The 16,223-nt window shown below is 39.7% G+C and overlaps 1 protein-coding gene across 67 annotated transcripts in view; it reads right to left on the bottom strand.

The window, feature by feature from the left end:
* Positions 1–16,223, bottom strand: part of CREM (cAMP responsive element modulator) — an 86,113-nt gene that overhangs the window by 36,803 nt on the left and 33,087 nt on the right. For 10 of the 67 annotated variants that reach the window (XM_011519333.2, XM_011519330.3, XM_011519331.3 and 7 more), the window contains exon 1: positions 451–563. The exons of 46 other annotated variants lie outside the window; for them this stretch is intronic. Coding sequence is in view for 18 of the 21 variants with exons in the window: in XM_011519331.3 (XP_011517633.1) it covers positions 451–515 (65 nt within the window). In the remaining 3 variants the exon portion in view is untranslated. Of the gene's footprint in view, positions 1–156; positions 304–450; positions 564–4,841; positions 4,964–8,352; positions 8,593–16,223 lie in introns of those variants that run through there. 11 more of the 67 variants (XM_024447824.2, XM_047424625.1, XM_047424628.1 and 8 more) reach the window with 3 other exon arrangements.

Genomic DNA, 16,223 nt, shown 5'->3' with positions numbered 1-16,223 from the left:
GAGCACCTTACGCAAGGAGAAGAGATTCCTCCAAATATCTAATAAAAAGATTTGCGTATAAGCACTTCATAAAGAAAAATGATAAATGAATTAGTGAAAGAGGAAAAAAATGGCTCAAGAAAGTCAAAGACAAAACCATTCAGGAAGGAAGCTAACCTGAACGGTGTGTATTTCTGATGACTGAATAACCCATGGCTGTGGTGTCTGAATTACTCCCTGGACATGTATAGTTTGGCCCGAAGGTAACTGCACTAGAGTTACAGCTGGGGAGCCTCTTCTGGTGCCTGATCCAGCCACAGAAACCTGCCAAAATGATCACCATTGAGGATTAAAGCTGGACCTTTTTTGTTATTGTTTTTGCTATTTTTAAGTAATACCACTCACTAATATGACTGGCCTACTTCTCTTTTTCCTGCTGCTGAGAAATGACAAACTATCTAGGATACTTACCATCGGGAGGTGGTTACTGTCCTGGAACAGTCATTTTCTGATGTGACATTTATTAAGGAACACATGCTCCTTATCGCTTTTGGTGCCCATACTTCGGTGGCTAAGAATGTTCCAAGCACAAAGTTCTAAAGCAGTTAAACTACCTCACTACGACCTCACGCCTACTAACAGTGAAGCCTTTCTTAGGCCAGAGTATAAACTACCCTCTAACTTCTTCAGAGAAATTGGAGATAGAACTTAACTATGGTTCTTTTTTTTTTGAGACGGAGTCTTGCTCTGCTGCCCAGGCTGGAGTGCAGTGGCGTGATCTTGGCTCCCTGCAAGCTCTACCTCCCAGGTTCAAGCCATTCTCCTGCCTCAGCCTCCTGAGTAGCTGGGACTACAGGTGCCCGCCACCACGCTCAGCTAATTGTTTGTATTTTTAGTAGAGACGGGGTTTCACCCATTAGCCAGGATGGTCTCGATCTCCTGACCTTGTGATCTGCCCACCTTGGCCTCCCAAAGTGCTGGGATTACAGGCGTGAGCCACTGTACCTGGCCAGTGAATTATTTTTATTAAATGTGTGACATATGATATTCTAGTGTTACTCTGGATGTGAGCTGATGCTTTGTCTCTAGACTGATAAAAATCACAGTCACTGTTATGCCCTCATAATAACTAAAAAGGCATAGGCCGAAGAAATTCCAGGACCTTTCAAGCCCCTGGTGTCTCTGACCCAGAGAAAGCTCATGCCTTGAAGGCTGATGAGGCCTCTGGACACTTTTCCTCTCCCTAGCTAAAGCATCCAGAGAGGCCAGAACTATCACTTAACTTTGGGCAGAGATCAGCACAACAGCCATCTCCTCACTACTTCCCTGAGTTCCTTCAACAGAGATCCCTACCAGAAAAACACGATACTAACCACTCCTCTGGACTCAAAACCTGCCAGGTTTTCTAATTAGTAAACAACTCTGTCCTATAGGCTAGCATAATTGCAGAAACTTTGCCTCATTTTACTAAGATTCACCATTCATTATGACTTACTCAAGAGTCAAAGACCTTGGAAATAAGTCACCAGTGTCTATCATGAGTGGTAGTAGAACCACAGCATCTAAAACAATTTTTTCAAGGAAGACTTTGTGTGTGACTTCACTTTGAGGAACACCAATGATTTCCAACTTATATTAATATCTGAAAAGAATTATTAAAAACTGGGTTTATAACAAATAACTAAGATTTATTTACATCATCATTCCCTTGGAAAACTAACTTCTCTGGCAATCCAAAAGTTAAAACATGTTTTATCCGTGTAAGAGAACCTAGGTGTTGAGCCTTGTACTAGGTGCACTATTAGAAAATAGAATTAATAAAACTAGCACCTAAGAAACAATGGCACACCAAATAGTACAGAACGAATTGCTCCATTTTAGAGGCCATGAATATCACAGGAGTACAGAATAGAAAGATCAGTATGGGCCCAAACAGTAAGTGAGGGCTTTATGTAGATGCCAGAGCTTGAGTGAAGGCTTGATCTAAACCTAGATAACAGTTGGACAGATAGTGTGAAACCAGGACAGAGGCAACCAATATGTAGCCCACAGGGAAAATTCAGCTCACCTACCCCCAGAGTATTATCATCTAGTTTAGATTCCAGGGAAAAGAAAAACATCCTCCCATTATGGAACCAGTAGATTTAACAACTGCAAGTTTTAAAACATTGGATTTATTCTACAAATGTTTCCGGCACAAAAGGCAACTCTGTATGAATTATACACCTCTATAGTGACTAACTCTCAAAAGATAACTCTTTCTCCTCACAACTAATTCTCAAATATTTTAGTCTCAGGGCATCTTTACACTCTTAAAAATTACTGATGACCTCAAAGAGCTTTTGTTTCTGTGATTGATATTCAGTAGAGGGCTGGTAAACACTTAACTAGATCTTAAGAAGGAGGAACACTGACTTGTAGCGTTTGCTCACTTCTGTGATGTAAGTACTCCTACTATGGCTGATTTCAAGCTGCCAATGGATGACATTGAACACAAAGCCGGATAAAGATTATACAATTGGTTTTCACTGGTACAAGCCAGCTGTGCACACCACTGGTTATATATGTTGATATTTAACATACTGGAAATTAAAACAGAAATTTTAAAAATAGTAACTTATTTTAAAATAATAAGTATGTGCTACCATAAATAACATTTTATGAAAAATGATTACATTTTCAAAAAAATCAGAAGAGTAGCACTGTTTTACATTTTTACAAATTATTTTAATGTCAGGTTTAACTGAAGATAGCCAGATTCTCATATCTACTTCTACACTGAATCTGTTGCAGTATGTTGCTTTAGTTGGTATGTGAAGAAAATCTGGGCCTCACAAAGACTCGTGTTAGAAAAAGGGAGGAATATTATAATAGCTTCTGTAGAAAATCATGGATATTCTTCATGGATACACCAAAACTTGACAACTGATTGTCTCTTAAGGATTAATTGCAACATACAATCTGAGACAGTATCAGTTACATTAAAATCCATTGATCTGTCTTGTACTTTGGATGAATCTCTTACCCACGTAAGATTTTGTAACATCCTGAAGTATTCATTTGGAAAATACTGGCTCACTGAGTTCAGGAGATCTTCCAAACGTGGACACATTTCATGACACAGTATTATAAATCACATTTCATTAAAGTATAACCAGTTTGATCAGAAAACTATGAATATTGTCAAGCTCACAATGGCAGATGCAGATTTTCCAAAATTCAAAGTTTTGGCTTAAAAGCTTGTGACAATAAACACCATGAGTTGTTTCCCTTGAACTGACAAGCTCACTTCATTTGTTTTTGAGGAAATGTCTTCAAGTTTGAATAGCCATCATTTGGAAATTAGTCATTCTTTTGAAGAAAATGACGTTCTGTGGAAAAACAGGCAGCTAATTCATCTTGGCACTCAAATAACACACGTGCTTTTCCTTAAGAACACCATGGGTCGTCAGGACGCAGCGGGGGGGTGCTTTCTGCAGCTGTCCCACTTCAGGACACAGAATATCAAAACAGCATGTACTCAGAGTCAAGATTTAATGCAATGGTAATTTTTACTGCTTCATCAAAGATATTCTTAAGTAAAACTGACTTAAAAAAAAAAAAACTGCAAGTGGATGGCAGTGAAGAATACAGTTAATACTAACACAGTTTGTGTCACTGACTTGAGTTAAGGCACCCAACAATTTACCACTCCCCCACCACCACTGTTTTTGCACCATCAGTGTGGATATCAAAACAGAGAAAAAGAAAAACAACATCTTAGCATCACCGTGAAAATGGTTTTGACCTAGCAAGCCTCATGAAAATGTCTCAGAGTCACCCCCAGGGTTCTGCACACCACACTTTGAAAACAGCTATTCCACACTAATCTAGCCCCTACACCCTGGCTTTCAGCTTAAAGAACTGCTCAGACAGGCTGAGATTTCAGCTCCAGTAGAGCAGCAGAGACAAAATAAACATATCCAGTAACCCTGACAGAGCCCATGTGTCAGAGACTGGCAAAATAGAAATTATGCTTTATAACTACATAAAACAAAAGAAAACAAAGGAAAAAAATTAACACAAAAAGAAGACTTCATTGACCAGCTTCTATCCCATCAGCTCAGGAAATTGGGACATGATCTTTAGTTCCAGATTCCAAACTGAGCTCTCTGGAGGACCCAGTACTCCACCACCACTTCTCCCACCCACCACCATGTGTAGGGACAAGCCACAGGTAAGTAAGGAGGGTAGAGTGACTTGATTTTCCTCTGTTCCTTTCCTTTTTTAAAAATGCAGTCACATAGCTGGGTGGTGGAAATTTCTGAAGATATTACATTTTCTCAAATCAAAATAATTTTCTTTTTAGAATTAAGGAGCTCCCAAAGCTTGTCAGATCCCAGTGGCTCTCAATGTTTTACTCTTTTTTCCAAGTACATAGAATAAGGTATCTGAAGACAATGTACTTGAAACTATAGCGGGGGAAACCCAGGGGTCCTACAAGTATTCTCACAAACTAGACCTGTGGGTTGAGATGGCAGGTGGTGTCCACATTCATTTTTTGTGGGGAAATGCCCAGCTTCAAAGAAATCAGATTATTATGGAGAACAGAAAAACAATTCAACAAAGATTCATGGGCATCTGATAGGCATAAATCATCCTTTACATTGCTTTAATCATCTTTCAAGTACAATTATCAGAATTTTAATTAAACAATAACTCTATCAAAAATGGCTAAGTCCTCATGACTGTAATCCCAGCACTTCAGGAGGCCGAGGCAGGTGGATTACCTGAGGTCAGGAGTTCAAGACCAGCCTGGCCAATATGGTGAAACCCTCTCTCTACTAAAAATACAAAAATTAGCCGGGTGTGGTTGTGCGCACCTGTAATCCCAGCTACTCATGAGGCTGAGGCATGAGAATTTCTTGAACCCAGGAGTTCGAGGTTGCAGTGAGCTGAGATCATGCCACCGCACTCCAGCCTGGATGACAGAGCGAGACTGTGCCTTAACAAAAAAAAAAAAAAAAAAAAAAAAAGGCTTGGTTAAGAATACCTGCTGCAGAAAAAGAACTTGTACCCGCTAACATAAACCATATCCTTACAATTCTGGAGATAGGTTATACAGATTCTGTAACTACAAGGAAACTTCCATATGTCCAAACTCTAGGCAGGCCAAAAGCTCATGAGACAATTTTTTCATTAAAATGCTAAAATAAAGGCTGAGAACCTGCATAAATGACGCATCTGGAGGTAGAATTCAAATGTCTCCTTTTAAAAAAGAAAACTCTTATATCTGGAGAACTATCATTCTACATTCTCACTGGTTAGGCCAAAACTTATAAGCAAGAGCGTCAACCTTATAATTATACTGGTAGAGTTAATAGGTTAAACTCCAATAAAGAAGAAAAGAGAGAAGAATCAAATAGATGCAATAAAACATGATAAAGGGGATATCACCACCGACCCCACAGAATTACAAACTACCATCAGAGAATACTATAAACACCTCTATGCAAATACACTAGAAAATCTAGAAGAAATGGATAAATTCCTGGACACATACACCCTCCCAAGACTAAACCAGGAAGAAGTTGAATTCCTGAATAGACCAATAACAGGCTCTGAAATTGAGGCAATAATTAATAGCCTACCAACCAAAAAAAGTCCAGGACCAGATGGATTCACAGCCGAATTCTACCAGAAGTACAAGGAGGAGCTGGTACCATTCCTTCTGAAACTATTCCAATCAATAGAAAAACAGGGAATCCTCCCTAACTCATCTTATGAGGCCAGCATCATCCTGATACCAAAGCCTGGCAGAGACAGAACAAAAAAAGAGAATTTTAGAACAATATCCCTGATGAACATCGATGCAAAAATCCTCAGTAAAATACTGGCAAACTGAATCCAGCAGCACATCAAAAAGCTTATCCGGCCAGACACAGTGGCTCACGCCTGTAATCCCAGCACTTTCAGAGCCTGAGGCAGGCGGATCACGAGTTCAGGAGATAGAGACCATCCTGGCTAACATGGTGAAACCCCGTTTCTACTAAAAAATACAAAAAAAATTAGCCGGGTGTGGTGGCGGGTGCCTGTAGTCCCAGCTACTAGGGAGGCTGAAGCAGGAGAATGGCGTGAACCCAGGAGATGGAGCTTGCAGTGAGCGAAGATCATGCCACTGCACTCCAGCTTGGGCAAAAGAGCGAGACTCCATCTCAAAAAAAAAAAAAAAGCTTCTCCACCATGATCAAATGGGCTTCATTCCTGGGATGCAAGGCTGGTTCAACACATGCAAATCAATAAACGTAATCCAGCATATAAACAGAAACAAAGACAAAAACCACATGATTATCTCAATAGATGCAGAAAAGGCCTTTGACAAAATTCAACAGCCCTTCATGCTAAAAACTCTCAATAAATTAGGTATTGATGGGACGTATCTCAAAATAATAAGAGCTATTTATGACAAACCCACAGCCAATATCATACTGAATGGGCAAAAATGGGAAGCATTCCCTTTGAAAACTGGCACAAGACAGGGATGCCCTCTCTCACCACTCCTATTCAACAGTGTTGGCAGTTCTGGCCAGGGCAATCAGGCAGGAGAAAGAAATAAAGGGTATTCAATTAGGAAAAGAGGAAGTCATATTGTCCCTGTTTGCAGATGACATGATTGTATATTTAGAAAACCCCATCGTCTCAGCTCAAAATCTCCTTAAGCTGATAAGCAACTTCAGCAAAGTCTCAGGATACAAAATCAATGTGCAAAAATCACAAGCATTCTTATACACCAGTAACAGACAAACAGCCAAATCATGAGTGAACTCCCATTCACAATTGCTTCAAAGAGAATAAAATACCTAGGAATCCAACTTACAAGGGATGTGAAGGACCTCTTCAAGGAGAACTACAAACCACTGCTCAATGAAATAAAAGAGGACACAAACAAATGGAAGAACATTCCATGCTCATGAACAGGAAGAATCAATATGGTGAAAACGGCCATACTGCCCAAGGTAATTTATAGATTCAATGCCATCCCAATCAGGCTACCAATGACTTTCTTCAGAGAAATGGAAAAAACGACTTTAAAGTTCATATGGAACCCAAAAAGAGCCCACATTGCCAAGATAATCCTAAACCAAAAGAACAAAGCTGGAGGCATCACGTTACCTGACTTCAAACTATACTACAAGGCCACAGTAACCAAAACAGCATGGTACTGGTACCAAAACAAAGATACAGACCGATGGAACAGAACAGAGCCCTCAGAAGTAATACCACACATCTACAACCATCTGATCTTTGACAAACCTGACAAAAACAAGAAATGGGGAAAGGATTCCCTATTTAATTAATGGTGCTGGGAAAACTGGTTTGCCATATGTAAAAAGCTGAAACCAGATCTCTTCCTTACACCTTGTACAAAAATTAATTCAAGACGGATTAAAGACTTAAATGTTAGACCTAAAACCATAAAAACCCTAGAAGAAAACCTAGGCAATACCATTCAGGACATAGGCATGGGCAAGGACTTCATGTCTAAAATACAAAAAGCAATGGCAACAAAGCCAAAATTGACAAATGGGATCTAATTAAACTAAAGAGCTTCTGCACAGCAAAAGAAACTACGATCAAAGTGAAGAGGCAACCTACAGAATGGGAAAAAATTTTTGCAATCTACTCATCTGACAATGGGCTAATATCCAGAATCTACAATGAACTCAAACAAATTTACAAGGAAAAAACCAAACCACCCCATCAAAAAGTGGGCGAAGGATATGAACAGACACTTCTCAAAAGAAGACATTTATGCAGCCAACAGACACATGAAAAAATGCTCATCACTGGCCATCAGAGAAATGCAAATCTAAACCACAATAAGATACCATCTCACACCAGTTAGAATGGCGATCATTAAAAAGTCAGGAAACAACAGGTGCTGGAGAGGATGTGGAGAAATAGGAACACTTTTACACTGTTGGTGGGACTGTAAACTAGTTCAACCATTGTGGAAGACAGTGTGGCGATTCCTCAAGGATCTAGAACTAGAAATACCATTTGACCCAGCCATCCCATTACTGGGTATATACCCAAAGGATTATAAATCATGCTGCTACAACTTGGAACCAACCCAAATGTCCAACAATGACAGACTGGATTAAGAAAATGTGGCACATATACACCATGGAATACTATGCAGCCATAAAAAAAGGATGAGTTCATGTCCTTTGTAGGGACATGGATGAAATTGGAAATCATCATTCTCAGTAAACTATCGCAAGAACAAAAAACTAAAACATAAAATGGATGTTATTTTATATTTCACAATTTTTACCCCTCTTTTCACAAGGCTTTAAAAGTGTGAAGGTACTTATAGCAGACATCATTTACCTTTTCTTCCACATCCCCTGAAGAATAATCCTCTTCTATAGGACGCCTGAAACATAGATTATGCTGATGCCACCACATCCACCAAAAATCCCACTATAAACAGTACTTAATCTGAAGAAATAAGGTAAGATGATGCAATTGACAGCCTTATTTGGCTTTGCAATTAAAAAAAACCCTAATAGTGACACTTATAACTGGGAAAACCTCACAGTGTTGTAACACAGCATTTGATTAGCACCTAGTGGACTAGCTCTGACCCGTAGCTAGGTTCCCTCACGATGGGGTTTATGATGTCATAGTATAGCTGCACATGTCACAAAGCTACTAGGCCTGCATTCAAGACAATAAAGGATTTTAAAATGTGAATTCACAATATAGCAGACTGCTCTATCAACTCTGCTCCTGAAAAATCAAATCTCTGTACTACCTAGTTTAAGGACTACAATAAAAATACACTAACAAGCTAAGCAAGAAGTTGAAAACTATCTTGATATTTATGTATTAAGACAGGATTCTCAAAAGTCTGTTCTATAGGGGAAAAAGCATTTAAGAGAATATTAGAATATTTCAAATGTTTTAAAGCTGAAAATAATAAGAATATTATAAATCAAATACCTGAATAAAGATGTAAAATATTCCACTTTAATTTTTTTTCCCCCCACTGAGACGGAGTCTTGCTCTGTCACCCAGGATGGAGTGCAGTGGTGCGATCTCGGCTCACTGCAACCTCCACCTCCTGGGTTCAAGCAATTCTCCTGCCTTAGCCACCCAAATAGCTAGGATTATAGGCATGTGCCACCACGTCTGGCTGATTTTTGTATTTTTAGTAAAGACAGGGTTTACCATCTCTGCCAGGCTGGTCTTGAACTCCTGACCTCAGGTGATCCATCCACCTTGGCCTCTCAAAGTGCTGGGATTACAGGTGTGAGCCACCGTGCCCGGCCCACTTTAATTTTTAAAAGTCATATTTGATTGTGCTGAGTAAGACAAACACAAAATGAAAAATGTAGTTGGTCTTCATTTCGGTTATCTTGAGTGACTTCCTTCCCATGAAGGTGTTTTTTGTTTTGAGTTGGAGACAGAGTTCAGCTCTGTTGCTCAGGCTGCGGTTCAGTGGCACAATGTTGGCTCACTGCAACCTCCACCTTCCAGGCTCAAGCAATCCTCCAGCCTCAAACTCCCGAGTGGCTGGGATTACAGGTGCCCGCCACCACACCCTGGTAATTTTTTTTTTTTTTTGATACAGACTCTTGTTCTGTCGCCCAGGCTGGAGGGAAGTGGCGTGATCTGGGCTCACCGCAACCTCCATCCACCTCCTGGGTTGAATCGATTCTCCTGCCTCAGCCTCCCAAGTAGCTGGGATTACAGGTGCCTGTCACCACACCCAGTTAATTTTTGTAATTTTAGTAGAGACGGAGTTTCACCATGTTGTCAGGCTGATCTCGACTCCTGGCCTCAGGTAATCTACCCGCCTTGGCCTCCCAAAGTGCTGAGATAACAGGTGTGAGCCACTGTGTCTGGCCTAGCTGTTTTTTTTGTTTTGTTTTTAAGATAGTGTGGCTAACAAATTGCAAATTCAATGCATTTAAATTTTACCTTAAGAATATATGTTGAAAATATTTGTTACAAAGAGATAAGCCAAGTATGATTATTATTTCTATATTTACTATCCATTATCTTCTAAAGAGATGTTGTTGTTGCCTCCAATCCTTTTTTTTATGTATAGCGCATAAGCTGAAATCCATAATCTGAATTGAAAAGGGGGAAAAGGATCATTGTTTCTGATACTGTAAACGTAAATGGTCAAATTTCATGTTTCTAAAAAATTCACTTCTTGAAAGCAAAGCAAGTGTTATAATTCAGTCATTCTTAATTATCCAGAAGGGTTTAAATAATCTATTTTGATAATGCTTCCAGTAAGCACTTAAATTAAAATTAGGGTTCTTTATCCTTTGAGAACAGTGCCCTAGCTAAACTTTTTTTTTTCTAGCTAATCTGTACAGTATCTTGGATTTCCTATTTATAGTATTTGGGGCATCATTTTATATTCTAACCAATATGAGATATGTTTCACTTATTATAATAATATATATATTAAAGTACTATAAAAATGGACATGACCTTTATAGAAGTCAAACTCTTTTAGCTCTGGAAGGAACTTTTGAAAGCCAATCTCGTATTTGGTTTCAGTAAGACTGAAACTGATCATAATTTACTAGCCAAATGTATTTCAAAATAATAAATACACATAAAGAATTTGCAGTAAGATTCTAAGCCAAAAAAAGGCTTTTTATGCAACAGGAAAGAAGAATTACATAAAAGTAGATGTCAAAATCAGAATCATTTTGACAAAACGTGATACAGTTTGGATGCTTATCCGCTCCCAATCTCATGTTGAAATATAATCCTCAATGTTGGAGGTGGGGCCTTGTGGGAGGTGTTTGGGTCATGGGGGATCCCTCATGAATGGTCATGAGTTCTCGCTCTGGTAGTTCTGAGAGCTGGTTGTTGAAGAGTGTGGCACTTCCCCTCTCTCTTGCTCCCTCTCTCTCCATGTGATACCCTGGCTCCCCCTTCTCCTGCTGCCATGATTTGAAGCTTCTGGAGGCTTCCCTAGAAGCAGATACTGGTGCCATGCTTCTTGTGCAGCCTGCAGAACCGTGAGCCAAAACAAACTTCTTTTCTTTATATATTATCCAGCCTCAAGTATTTCTTTTTCCTTTTCTTTTTTTTTTTTTTTTTTTTTTGAGATGGAGCCTCGCTCTGTGGCCCAGGCTGGAGAGCAGTGGTGCAATCTGGCTTACTGCAACTTCTGCCTTCCGGGTTCAAGTTTCAAGTGATTCTCCTGCCTCAGCCTCCGGCGTAGCTGGGATTACAGGCGCCTGCCACCATGCCCAGCTGATTTTTGTATTTTTTTGTAGAGACAGGGTTTCACCATGTTGGCCAGGCTCGTCTCGAACTCCTGAGCTCAAATAATCCACCCAACTCAGGCTCCCAAAGTGCTGGGATTACAGGCATGGGCCACTGCCCCAGCCAGGTATTCCTTTATAGCAATGCAAAGCAGACTAATTTAACACAGCCAGGCCAAATTGCATCTTTAAGTTGTTTTCAGTTCCAGTCCAATGGTCAGAGTACATAAATAGTAAAGTCTAAGAGTTTAGCTCCTTACAAAAATTATAATGCAGTTTGGTCTTACCATGAAATCTGAAATAGTTACAGATTATATTTTAGATTTTTATGCCCAAAGTGGCCAGCAATGTTTTAAAATATCTAGGAGAAATCTAAAGTACCTAAATTAAGAAGCATAAAACATATAATTTTAAGCAAGCTCCTGACATACCGGAACTTTGCTTATAAAACTATAAAAAATTAGCTTTTCTCCTCTATACCCTTTGGAGGCCTACTAAGCATTGTAGATTTTTGTTACTTTACAAAGGATTCCGAATACAATATATTTTAAAACCAGCATAAGCCATTTCATCTTAAAGCCTAATTACTACCATTTTAAGATCAAGGAAGGTCACTATGAGGATAAAAGCAAGCATTTATTGCACATTGACCAGATGCCAAACTCTGTGCTTGTGCTTCACACAAATCATCTCATTTAATCTATGAAATCAGTATTTTCCATGTTTTAGGTAAAGAAAGCAAAGGTCAAATGATTAGTCTTAATACTTAAAACTGCATAAAATTAGTATCAACTTTAATCTAGTATTAAAATATAGTATGAAAAATACCTTCAACACTACTTTTAAGTAAACAAGCTAAATTTAATTCAAACTGAGAATACATGTATAAATTAGGGCTCTTTTTTTGTTTTTTTTTTTTTGAGATAGGTTCTTGCTGTCACCCAGGCTAGAGTGCAGTGCAGCTTCCCAGGCTCAAGCGATCCTCCCACCTCAGCCTCCTGAGTAATTTGAACTACAAGCACATGTCACCACACTCAACTAATTGTTTTTTTTTGTTTGTTTTTTGTTTTTTGGAGACGGAGTTTCACTCTTGTCGCCCAGGCTGGAGCGCAGTGGTGTGATCTTGGCTCACTGCAACCTCCGCCTCCCGGGTTCAAGCGAATCTCCCGCCTCAGCCTCCCGAGTAGCTGGGATTACAGGTGCCCACCACCATGCCTGGCTACTTTTTGTATTTTTAATAGAGACAAGGTTTTACCATGTTGTTGGCCAGGCTGGTCTTGAACTCCTGACCTCAGGTGATCTGACTGCCTCAGCTTCCCAAAGTGCTGGGATTACACGTGAGCCACTGCACCTGGCCTAAGTTTTTAATTTTTCATAGAGACATGGTCTCCCTATGTTGTACAGGCTGGTCTCGAACTCCTGTGCTCAAGCAATCATCTCATCTCGGCCTCCCAAAGTGTTGGGATTACAGGCATGAGCCATCATACCTGGCCTCTTTTTATGTATGAAGCAGTAAACAAGCCCTTGGAGATGAGAAAATGAGAAAGCTCTAGGAACAAAAGACAGGGGAGACCAACTTACAAAGGCAATACCTACCATGGTATATTACCATATCCAATAGTAAATACGCACACATTTAATATTTTTGTTCTCTATTTTTTTTTATTTTTGTTTTTTGTTGCGTTGAGACAGGGTCTTGCTCTGTCACCCAGGCTGGAGTGCGGTGGCATGATCACGAATCACTGCAGCTTCAATCAACCTCCAGGGCTCAAGAGATCCTCCCATCTTAGCCTCCTGAGTAGATAGCACTACAGGCAAGTGCCACCATGCCTGGCTAATTTTTTTTTTTGTAGAGATGGAGTCTTACCTTGACCCAGGCTGGTCTTGAACTCCTGGGCTCAAGTAATCCTCCTGACTTGGCCTCCCAAAGTGCTGGGATTACAGGCATGAGCCACTGCTCCTCTCCCATTAATTATTATTTTGTATTTGATTTTATTTTCTGGTGGCCATGATTTGCTGGTGCCCGAAGAAAGTGTTTAATCTCACAACTGGGCAAATGGAGCTCAGGTGGTTAGAAAAACTTAAAAATAATTCTTGCTTTTTCAACCAAATTTGCTACAACTGGCCTCTACTGTGGCCTCTGAGAAGTCCAGGCTTCAGTACTGCCTGAAGCAGGCTGTGTAAGATTTTAGATTCTGGACTCCTTCTTTGTAAAGGATGACAGCGGCTTCCTAGAGAGGGTGTCTCATACTGACAGGGAGAGAGACAAGCAGGAGAGAAAGACTGGGCAAGGAAAGCATGTGGAGGTTGGAGATGTACCTTTTAAATGTTCTTACTTTACATTTTGAATTGACAGAAAAAATTGCATTTATCATGTACAACATGATGTTTTGGAGTATATATACATTATGTAATAGTTAAATCTAGCTAATTAATAATAGCATTACCTCACATAGTTGTTTTTGTGGTGAGAACATTATTAACATTCAACTATCTCTGCATTTTTCAACAATACATTGTCCTTAACTATAGTCACCATGCTGTATGATAGCTCTCTTGAACTCATTCCTCCTAACTGTAATTATATATTCTTGGACCAACATTTCCCCATCCTTCCCTCTGCCTAAGCACCCCCACCTCTGGTAACCACCATTCTTCCCTCTAATTCTATGAGAACTTTTTAGACTCCACACATGAGTGAGAGCATGCAGTATGTGTCTTTCTGGGCCTGGCTTATTCACTTAACAGAATGACTTCCAGATTCCTCCATCTTGTTGCAAATGACACTTCATTCTTTTTTATGGTTGAATAGTATTCCATTGTGTATACATACCATACTTTCTTTATCCATTCATCCACTGATGAACACCGAGGCTGATTCCGTATCTTGGCCATTATGCATAGTGCTGCAATAAATATGGAAGTGCAGATATCTCTTCCACACACTGCTTTCATCTCCTTTGGATAGATACCCAGTAATGAAATTGCTGGATCATCTGGTACTTCTATTTTTCATATCTGGAGGAACCTCCATACTGTTTTCCATATGGCTATACAAATTTACATTCCCACCGTCAGTGTATAAGTGTTCCCTTTTCTCCATATTCTTGCCAACATCTGTTATCTTTTGTCATTTTGATAATAACCAACCTAACAAGAGGAAGGTGATATCTCATTGTAGTTTTGATTTGCAATTCCCTGATGATTAATGATGTCGAGCTTTTTTTTTTTGGTGAGACAGTCTCACTCTGTTGCCCAGGCTGGAGTGCAGTGGTGTGATCTCGACTCACTGCAACTTCTGCCTCCCGGGTTCAAGTGATTCTCCTGCCCCAGCCTCTGAGTAACTGGGATTACAGGTGCACAACACCACTCCTGGCTAATTTTTTTTATTTTTTGTTTTTGAGATGGAGTCTTGCTGTGTTGCCCAGGCTGGAGTCCACTGGGACCATCTCGGCTCACTGCAACCTCCGCCTCTGGGTTTAAGCAATTCTCCTGCCTCAGCCTCCCAAGTAGCTGCGATTACAGGCGCCTGCCACCACATCTGCTTATTTTTGTATTTTTAGTAGAGAAATTTTGTACTGAAAATACAAAAATTAGCCAGGCATGGTGATGCACGACTGTAATCCCATACTCGGGAGGCTGAGGCACGCGAATAGCTTTAACCCAGGAGGCGGAGGTTGCAGTGAGCCGAGATCACATCACCACACACCAGCATGGGCAACAGAGTGAGACCCTGTCTCATAAATAATTAAATAAAAGCATAGCAATGCAATTATGTACAGTACATATGCTTGATAATAAAAAAATGACTGTTACTGGTTTATGTATTTACCATACTTTTTATTATTATTTTACTTCAAGTTATTTTAAAAAGTTAACTGTAAAACAGCCTCAGGCAGGTCTTTCAGCGAGTATCCAGAAGAAGGCACTGTCATAAGAGATGACAGCTCCATGAGTGTTCTTTCCCTGAGAACCTTCCAATGGGACAGGATATGAAGGTGGAAGACAGCAATACAGATGATCCTGACACTATACAGGCCTAGGCCAACATGTGTGTTTGTGTCTCAGTTTTTAACAAAAAAGTTTAAAAATAAAAAAAATAAAAAATTTCAAACACAGAAAAGGTTTACACAGCATAAGCATAGAAGAAAACATTTTTATGCAGCTGTGTAATATGTTTGTGTTTTAAGCTAAGTGTTATTACAAAAGTCAAAAAGTAAAAAACTTACAGTAAGCTACAGTTCATTGAAGAAATGATGTTTTATGAATTTAGTGTAACCTAAGTGTACAATGTTTATCAAGTCTACAATAGCAAAAAAATAAAATAAGTTAGCTGGGCATGGTGGCATGTGCCTGTAGTCCCAGTTACTCGAGAGGCTGAGACAGGAGGATCACTTGAGCCCAGGAGTTTGAGGCTGCAGTGAACTATGATTGTGCCACTGTACTCCAGCCTGGGCAAAAGAACAAAATTCTATTAAAAAAAAAGACAGTCTACAGTAGTGTACAATAATGTCCTAGGCCTTCACATTCCCTCACTGCCCACTCGCTGGCACACCCAGGACAACATCCAGTCCTGCAAGCTCCACTATGGTTTTGTGCCCTATACAGATGTGCCATTTTTATCTTTGATACCGTATTTTTACTGTACCTTTCCTATGTTTAGATACACAAATACTTATTATTGTGCTCCAATTGCCTGTAGTATTCAGTATAATCGCATCCTATACAGGTTTGCAGCCCAGGAATAACAGGCTGTACCATACAGCTTAGGTATGTAGTGGGCTATACCATCCAGGTTTGTGTAAGTACACTCTAGATGTTTGCACAAAGATGAAATCACCACACCATTGGTTCTGTTGGATCATAAGGGAAAAAAAAAAGATGAAATTGCCTAACAACACATTTCTCAAAATGTAGACCTGTTGTTAAGTGATGAATGACTGTACTTGGCCATTTTTATGT

The sequence above is a fragment of the Homo sapiens genome, chromosome 10 (assembly GCF_000001405.40).
Source record: "Homo sapiens chromosome 10, GRCh38.p14 Primary Assembly".
In the NCBI taxonomy this organism is placed as follows: domain Eukaryota; kingdom Metazoa; phylum Chordata; class Mammalia; order Primates; family Hominidae; genus Homo; species Homo sapiens.
The sequence above is the reverse complement of the archived record's forward strand: the minus strand, read 5'-3'. Positions and strand labels throughout refer to the sequence as shown.